Genomic DNA, 9765 nt, shown 5'->3' on the forward strand with positions numbered 1-9765 from the left:
ACAAAATTAGAAAAAGAAACACAAAAGAAACTCCAAACAAGCAAAAGAAAGGAAATAACAAAGATAAGAGCAGATATCAATGAAGCTGAAAACAGAAAAACAGTAGAGAAAATCAATGAAACCAAAATCTGGTTACTTGAAAAGATCAATACAATTGATAAACCTCTAGCAAAACTGATGAAGAGGGAAAAAAGCAGACACTACAAAATACTATTTGTAGGGTCCAGCCCTTTGGGGCTTAGCGGGTGTTCTCCCCGTGTGCGGAGACGAGAGATTGTAATAAATAAAGACACAAGACAAAGAGATAAAGAGAAAGCAGCTGGGCCCGGGGGACCACTACCATCAAGACGCGGAGACCGGTAGTGGCCCCGAACGGCTGGTTGCGCTGATATTTACTGCATACAAGACAAGGGGGCAGGGGAAGGAGGGTGAATCTTCTAAGTGATTGACAAGATGCAGCAAGTCACGTGATCACAGGACAGGGGGCCCTTCCCTTTTAGGTAGCCGAAGTAGAGAGAGAAGGCAGCATACGTCAGCGTTTTCTTCTATGCACTTATAAGAAAGATCAAAGACTTTAGACTTTCACTATTTCTTCTACCGCTCTCTACTACGAACTTCAAAGAGGAACCAGGAGTACGGGAGGACATGAAAGTGGACAAGGAGCGTGAGCATTGAAGCACAGCCCCACAGGGAGGGGTTTAGGCCTCTGGATGACTGCGGGGAGGCCTGGATAATATCCAGCCTTCCACAAGAAGCTGATGGAGCAGAGTGTTCCCTGACTCCTCCAAGGAAAGGAGACTCCCTTTCGCGATCTGCTAAGTAACGGGTGTCTTCCCAGGCACTAGCGTTACCGCTTGACCAAGGAGCCCTCAAGCGGCCCTTATGCGAGCGTGACAGAAGGTTCACCTCTTGCCTTCTAGGTCACTTCTCACAATGTCCCTTCAGCACCTGACCCTATACCTGCCGGTTATTCCTAGGTTATATTAGTAATGCAACAAGCAGTAATATTAAAAGCTAATGATTAATAATGTTTATAATAATGATTGATAATTGTCCATGATCATCTCTATATCTAATTTGTATTATGACTATTCTTATTCTAACTATTTTTTTTATTATACTGAAACAGTTTGTGCCTTCAGTCTCTTGCCTCGGCACCTAGGTACTCTTTCGCCCACAACTATTATCAAGAATAAAATAGGGGATTTCACTACAGACCCTGAAAAGATTAGAAGGATAATAAAGGACCATTATGATTACGCACAAAATTTCAACAGTTTAAACGAAATGGAACAATGACTCAAAAACCACTAACTACCAAAATTTACCCAAGATTAAATAAATAAACTGAATAGGGCCTGGCGCAGTGGCTCACGCCTGTAATCCCAGCACTTTGGGAGGCTGAGGCGGGAGGATCACAATGTCAGGAGATCGAGACCATCCTGGCTAATAGGAGACCCCATCTCTACTAAAAATACAAAAAATTAGCTGGGCATGGTGGCAGGCGCTTGTAATCCCAGCTACTCGGGAGGCTGAGGCAGGGGAATCGCTTGAACCCAGGAGGTGGAGGTTGCAGTGAGCCAAGATCACGCCACTGCACTCCAGCCTGGGCGACAGAGCAAGACTCTGTCTCAAATAAATAAATAAATAAATAAATAAATAAATAAATAAATCGTTCTAGAACTATAAAGAAATTGATTTTAGCCAGGCATGATGGCTCACACCTGTAATCCCAGCACTTTGGGAGGCCGAAGCGGGAGGATCACTTGAGCTCAGGAGTTTGAGACCAGCCTGGGCAACATGGCAAAACTCCATCACTACGAAACAATACAAAAATGAGCCGGGTGTGGTGGGTTGCACCTGTGGTCCCAGCTACTCTGGAGGCTGAGGTGGAAAGGTGAACTCAGCTGTACACCCACCAGCTGTACACTCACTGCAGGAGGCCGAGGCTGCAGTGAGCCATCATTGCACCATTGACTCCAGCCTAGGCGACAGAGGCACTGTCTCAAAGTAAAAAAAAAAAAAAAAAAAAAAAAAAAAAAAAAAAAGAAATTGAATTCATAGTTTAAAACCTTCCAAAACAGAAATCACCAGCCCAGATGGCTTAACTAGCGAATTCTACCACACATTTAAAGATGAAGTAACACCAATTCTACGCAATCTCTTCCAGAAAATAGAAGAGGGACCACTTCCCAACTCATTTTCTTAGGCTAGCATTTGCTCTGCTCCTGAAAGCAGACAAAGGTAATACAAGTAAAGAAAACTACAGACCGATATCTCTCATGAACATAGACATAAAAGTCTCAACAAAATATTAGCAATTGGAAACTAGCAATACATGAAAGGATAATATACTATAACTAAGTAGTGCTTATCTCAGGCCTGAAAGACTGGTTCAATATTCGGAAGTCAATTAATATAATCCAGCATATTAACAGTCTAAGAAGAAAAGCAACAAAATTGTATCCACTCATGGAGAGAAGGCATTAGACAAAATTCAATATCCATTTATGATTTTTTTAAATACTCTTAGTACACTAGGAATAGAAGGAAAGTTCCCCAATCTGATAAAGGGCATCATCTACTAATATGTCATTCATTGTTATTCAATAGACTTTTTTTGGATTTTTCTTCCTATACATTCAGCTGTCAAAGACAGTTTTAATTTCAGGTCTCAAAAGTCCAGCCCAGACTAAAGCAAACCTTTTTTTTTTTTTTTTTTTTTTTTGAGATGGAGCCTCGCTCTGTCGCCCAGGCTGGAGTGCAGTGGCGCGATCTCGGCTCTGCAACCTCCGCCTCCCAGGTTCAGGCAATTCTGCCTCAGCCTCCCGAGTAGCTGGGACTACAGAAACACACCACCACACCCTGCTAATTTTCTGTATTTTTAGTAGAGACGGGTTTTCACCATGTTAGCCAGGATGGTCTCAATCTCCCGACCTCATGATCCGCCTGCCTCGGCCTCCCAAAGTGCTGGGATTACAGGCGTGAGTCACCACGCCGGCCGATTTTTTTCTTAACACTCAGCACCACTGTCTGTCTGTCGGAGGACTGCCTTCACGCCGCTACAGAAGGCAGGAAGTCACAGAATGGATGATAGCCCGTGACTGTTGCGTTCTGAGGTGTGAGTACTCCAGCTCCCCTGTTCCTAATGGGGGCAACTCTGAGATGTGACCTACACTGTTTCCAATGCTCCCCAGTGGGATTGAGATAGTTACACCACCACCAACAATGCAAGGCTTGCCTTCGAGCACTTCCTGATGAATTCCTTTCCCAAGAACCAAGCTCTCACAGCGAGCTTCAATTGCATGCACGCTTGCCTTCCTTCCCTTCCTCTTCCTGATTCCCCATTCTCCTGTCCACTTCTCCTAAGAGCACTTTCTAGTGAATCACTTTCATAAGAATCATCTCGGGGACTGACTGAGAGAAGCCAGGACTGGAGTCCTGGGAGGTTCTGTTCCTCCTTTCTGTTTCTTTTCCTCTTCTCAGTACTCCTCAAGGGCTGGGTCAAGGGAGAGAAGAATGCAAGGAAACCAGCGCTGCCATCTGTGCTAGTGTGGCAGTCGAGGAGGTCTTCACAGCAAGCATCCGACACTGGCTTTCATGAGGTCTATTGGGGGTGTCCAGAGACCCCCGCAGGATCTTTTGTGACCCAGCCGTTCACCACCAGTTCCTGCCCAGATGAAAACTGTACACCCACCGCCTCTTACAGCCTCGCTCTGCCATGCAGTCCTCTTGGGCAGGGTCCTTCCTAGCTGGCTCAAGCCTGACATCTATAGAGTCGCCTCGGCTCACGGGTTCTCTGACATTATGCTGCCAGACTACCAAGTGCAGCCTGATTGACTGGTGGACGGGGCAACTCCAGCCCAGATGTTTGTCTTCAGACTTCTCCTGTCAAGAAGCAGAGATGAGTCTGTTTCTTCACAACTGCCACAAAACTCCTGAGGACACAGCCATAGCCTCCACTAAAACTCTTCTTGCCCCTCTCACGTAGCATTCCACAGTGGTCCCAGTGGTGTCTGCATCTTATAAGGCTACCATCAGGCCTGGCAGGGAGATGCTCGTGTTATCCCCTGGCAGACAACCACTGTCTCTACAAACAGTTCCCTTGCAACTCTATTATCTCACTGATAGAGGTTTAAAGAAGCATTCCCCTTCCTGTGGAGGGAAAAAGTGTTGAATCCCTTGCTACACATCTAAGAATTCCCTTGAGGCCGGGCGCGGTGGCTCACGCCTGTAATCCCAGCACTTTGGGAGGCCGAGGCAGGTGGATCACTTGAGGTCAGGAGTTCGAGACCAGCGTGGCCAACATGGTGAAACCCTGTCTGTACTAAAAACACAAAAAGGAGCCAGGCATGATGGCGGGTGCCCGTAATCCCAGCTACTCAGGAGGCAAAGGTAGGAGAATCACTTGAACCCAAGAGGTGGAGGTTGCAGTGAGCCGAGATCGCGCTACTGCACTCCAGCCTGGGTGACAGAGCAAGACTCCATCTCAAAAAATAAAAAAACAAAAAAGAATTGCTTTGAAACAATCCCCTTAAATCTCCATTCATCTTTTGCGTAGCCTGGGAAGAGTGATGGTGATTATGTTGCCTCTCTTAGTTAGTCCTGCCTACATGCATCCAGCTTTTCTCTGTTTTAAATGGGCACTTACCAATGATCATTCTCAACTTTGGGAATCTAGCCAAATCTCTATAACAACAGGAAAAGTGTCATTTAACCTCCCTATTTCTTGTGGTCATGTCACTTTTCTCAGTTCCTTAATTGGGCTTGCCAAGATGTTGTTTACCATATTAGTCTTTTTGGAAAGGGGTTTTTGTTAAGAGGATAACATGACAAGCTACAGACTTGGAGAGAATATTTGCAAACCACCTATCCAACAAAGGGTTAGTACCTAGAATATATAATGAATTATCAAAACTTGACAGTGAAAAAACAAACAATCTCAATTAGAAAATGGGCAGAAACCTGGGCACAGTGGCTCACGCCTGTAATCCCAGCACGTTGGGAGGTCGAGGCAGGCGGATCACCTGAAGTCAGGAGTTCGAGACCAGCCTGGCCAACATAGCAAACCCCATCTGTACTAAAATACAAAAATTAGCCGGGCGTGGTGGCGAGCACCTGTAATCCCAGCTACTCGGGAGGCTGAGGCAGGAGAAACACTTGACCCTGGGAGGTAGAGGTTGTGGTGAGCCGAGATCGCGCCACTGCACTCCAGCCTGGGTGACAAAGCGAGACTTTGTCTCAAAAAAAAAGAAAGAAAGAAAGAAAATGGGCAGACGACATGAAGAGATGTTTTACCAAAGAGGATAAGCAGATGGAAAATAAGCACATGAACGAATGTACAACCTCATTAGCTGCCACAGAAACGCAAATTAGAACCACAGTAATGTATCACTATATATCTATCCAAAGAGCTAAAACTTTAAAATACTGACAACAACCAGATACAGGTGAGGAAGTGGGCAAACTGGATCATTTATACATTGCTGGTGGGAATATAAAATGGTACAACCACTCTGGAAAACAGTTTGGCAGTTTCTTTTAAAAGTAATCATGCACCCACTATATGACCCAGAAATTGCACTCAGGCATTTCTCCCAGAGAAATAAAAATGTGTGTTCACACAAAAACTTGCACATGAATATTCATAGCAGCCGTATTTGCAACAGCCAAAGACTGGAAACAACCCAGATGTCCTTCAATGAGTAAATGGCTAAACGAACTGTGGTACGTCTATCTATACCATAGAATAGCGCTCAGCAACAGAAAGAAATGAACTGTTGACGCATGCAACAACTTGTAAAAATCTCGAGGGAATTACGTTGAGTTTGAAAGTCAATTCCATGGCCGGGTCCAGCGGCTCATGCCTGTAATCCCAGCACTTTGGGAGGCCGAGGCAGGTGGATCACGAGGTCAGGAGTTCAAGACCAGCCTGTCCAAGATGGTGAAACCCCATCTCTACTAAAAACACAAAAATTAGCCAGGCGTGGTGGTGGGTGACTGTAATCCCAGCTATTCAGGAGGCTGAGGCAGAGAATTGTTTGAACCCGGGAGGTGGAGGTTGCAGTGAGCCAACATCGTGCCACTGCACTCCAGCCTGGGCGACAAGAGCAAGGCCAATTTATCACTTTTAGAGAGGCGATGTGATCATTGCTGAACCATCACCCAACATTTCTAGTGGGCGGGAAAGCCCCCTCCTGCCCACTCATGCCTGTCTAACTACCTGTAACAACCCTGGAAACCCAGCATTCTGGGAGGCCGAGGCAGATGGATCGCTTGAGCACAGGAGTTTGAGACCAGGAGGCTCAAACTGGTCTTGAACCAGAAGGCCTTCTGGTCTTGAACCCAGTTTAGTGAGACCCTATCATTATAAAAAATTTAAAAATTAGCCAGGCGTGGTGGTATGCACCTATAGTCCCAGTTACTTGGGAGGCTGAAGTGGGAGGATCACTTGAGCCCAGGTGTTTGAGGCTGCAGAGAGCCATGATCATGCCACTGCACTCCAGCCTGGGTGACAGAGCGAGACTTTGTCTCAAAAAAAAAAAAAAAATATATATATATATATATGTGTGTGTGTGTGTGTGTATACACATATATATGTATATGTACACATACAATTTATATATATATGTATATATAGCATTTTCTAGATTCTGTGATGTTTCTGGTAGCTCTCTGCTTTTGAAATTTGTGACTTTTTAAATTTAAATAAATGGTAATTTTTATGCTTAATTTTATATCCATAATTTTGTAATTGTTCTTACAGAGGGCTCCCCAAAATTGTGTACACCTCAGGCCCCATAAAACTTGGAATCACTTCTCTGGCTCTAGGAAAAAGTACACCAAGTACAACTAAAATACTGATTATACGACTGGTTTGCACGTCTGGAAAAATTATATTGTCAAGCTTTTTACAGTTCAGGAAGACTCAGCAATAAGTTAAAAGAATATGAGGCAAATTTTTTTAATGGAATACTGACTACTTTCAGAAGAAATGAGAGTTGTGCAAGAAAGGGAATGTAATCAGATTATAGTAGTTGACTCAGCAGTAACCATATTGACACAGATACAACTGATACAAATTTTAAAGTAGTATTTAAATATAAATTGTAGACTACATTGGAAGATTTTACCTCGTTTACATGATAGCGACTAAATAATGTCTACAACTCATACGAAGATGAAATATCAGTTTGTGTGTCTTACTTAGAACTGCAGATGTCAGTACTAGAAGAAACAGCTAGAATCACTGAAAGCAGTTTCTCCAGGCAGCAAGAGGAGCTAAAGGGGGCAGGTCAAGTAACCTAGAGCCCTGTAAAACTTCTAGTTTTATAGACTTTATACTTCTAGTTTTATAGACTTTATAAAATTTCTACTTTTCTATAAAAATTCTAGTCCTATAAAACTTTAGAGTGTATTATTACTTCCATAATTTATTTTTTGAGAAAAGATCTCGCTGTCTTACCCAGGCTGCAGTGTAGTGACACAGTCACAGCTCACTGCAGCTTCAATTTCCTGGGCTCAAACTATCCCCTCATCTCAGCCTCCCAAGTAGCTGGGACTGCAGGGATGCACCACCACATCCAGCTGGGGTGTGTGTGTGTGTGTGTGCATGTTGTACAGACTGGGTTTCGCCATATTGCCCAGGCTAGTCTCAAACTCCTGAGCTCAGGCGACCCACCACCTCAGCCTCTCAAAATGCTAAGATTATAGGCATGAGCCATTGCACCCAGCCTATTTTCACGGTTTTTTAAATTTAATCCCAATCGTGTACATTTTGAAGGGGCAATCCTAGAAAATTTTTCAACTGAAAAGTGGGAAGTCTTGACCTATCCCAAGCTTATGAGCAAAAAAATTACTTTGAAACATTCTATGTGAAAACAAAGAAACAAAAGTGGTAACTACTTGCCCCCTACAGAGAATGATTACATAATGCATGGTACATCCCTACTTTGGAATTCTCTACAGCTGCTAAATCCAAGGAGGTAAAACCTGCCAGGTAATGGCATAGATTAGACTGGTGTCCACGAGACACTGTGAAGCGGAACAGGCACTATGTAATGACATAATATTGCATCTACTCATGTACACAGGAAGGGCTCTGGCAGGGGACACAGGAAAGAGTTGACTCTGGGGAGACGGAGGAGGACTGAGAGGACACTCGTGTGCGTGCGTGTGTGTGTGTCATTTAAAACATTTTTTTACTAATAGAATGTATTACTTCTGTACTTTAAAAATTTAAAAATATGGGGCCGGGCCCCGTGGCTCATGCCTATAATCCCAGCACTTTGGAAGGCAGAGGCGGGCGGATCACCCGAGGTCAGGAGTTCAAGATCAGCCTGGCCAACATGGCGAAACGCTGTTTCTACTAAAAATACAAAAATTAGCTGGGTGTGGTGGCGCATGCCTGTAATCCCAGCTACTCGGGAGGCTGAGGCAGAAGAATCGCTTGAACCCGGGAGGTGGAGGTTGCAGTGAGCCAAGACCGCACCATTGCACTCCAGCCTGGGCAACACAGCAAGACTCCAACTTAAATAAATAATATAACCGCTGAATAGTCTTTTTAAGGTCAGTTTCAGAATGTTCTTGGAGCGGGAAGTTTGCCCACTGTGGAGATTGTTGGTGACACCCTGTGTTGAAGATATGTCTAGATCCGCTTGGGGTCAAAAAGACAGAGCCACGGTGGTGAGAAAGTGACTTACCCATCCTCCTCCTCGTCGTGACCATTTTCCTTGAAGGCTGAGAGTGGAGCTGGGGTATGCCCTGCGACCCGGTCTGGGGAGAACCCAACCGCAGAGAAAGATGTTTCCTTTGGGAGCCCTGGTGTGTCCGGAATTGGTGGGTTCTTGGTCTCACTGACTTCAAGAATGAAGCCGCGGACCCTCGCGGTGAGTGTTACAGTTCTTAAAGGCGGCGTGTCTGGAGTTTGTTCCTTCTGATGTTCAGATGTCTTCAGAGTTTCTTCCTTCTGGTAGGTTCATGGTCTCACTGGCTCAGGAGTGAAGCTGCGGAACTTCGTGGTGAGTGTTACAGCTCTTAAGGCAGTGTGGACCCAAAGAGTGAGCAGCAGCAAGATTTATTGCAAAGAGCGAAAGAACAAAGCTTCCACAGTGTGGCAGGGGACCCGAGTGGGTTGCCGCTGCTGGCTGGGGCAGCCTGCTTTTATTCTCTTATCTGGCCTGATTGGTGCGTTTACAATCCCTGAGCTAGGCACAAAGGTTCTCGACTTCCCGACCAGAGTAGCTAGATACAGAGTGTCAATTGGTGCATTCACAAACCCTGAGCTAGACACAGGGTGCTGATTGGTGTGTTTACAAACCTTGAGCTAGATACAGAGTGCCAATTGGTGCATTTACAATCCCTTAGCTAGACATAAAGGTTCTTCAAGTCCCCACCAGACTCAGGAGCCCCGCTGGCTTCACCCCATGGATCCTGCACTGGGGCCGCAGGTGGAGCTGCCTGCCAGTCCCGCGCCCTGCGCCCGCACTCCTCAGCCCTTGGGTGGTCGATGGCACTGAGCGCGCCCTGGAGCAGGGGGCGGCGCTGGTCGGGGAGGCTCGGGCCGCACAGGAGCCCACGGAGCGGGGGTCGGGGAGGCTCAGGCATGGCGGGCTGCGGGTCCCAAGCCCTGCCCCGCGGGAAGGCAGCTAAGGCGTGGCGAGAAATTGAGCACAGCAGCTGCTGGCTCAGGTGCTAAGCCCATCACTGCCCGCGGCCGGTGGGGCAGGCCGGCCACTCCGAGTGCGGGGTCCGCCGAGTCCACGC

General features: G+C 46.0%; 2 annotated features.

Annotated features, from left to right (window-relative positions):
- Positions 3500–3599: an enhancer, noted in NCBI's record as "active region_11600". NCBI's record gives its function as "activates an Ori minimal core promoter by ATAC-STARR-seq in GM12878 lymphoblastoid cells {active_cell/tissue: GM12878}" and the evidence as "EXISTENCE:reporter gene assay evidence [ECO:0000049][PMID:35858748]".
- Positions 3690–3789: an enhancer, noted in NCBI's record as "active region_11601". NCBI's record gives its function as "activates an Ori minimal core promoter by ATAC-STARR-seq in GM12878 lymphoblastoid cells {active_cell/tissue: GM12878}" and the evidence as "EXISTENCE:reporter gene assay evidence [ECO:0000049][PMID:35858748]".

This window comes from Homo sapiens, chromosome 17, assembly GCF_000001405.40.
Source record: "Homo sapiens chromosome 17, GRCh38.p14 Primary Assembly".
In the NCBI taxonomy this organism is placed as follows: Eukaryota; Metazoa; Chordata; class Mammalia; order Primates; family Hominidae; genus Homo; species Homo sapiens.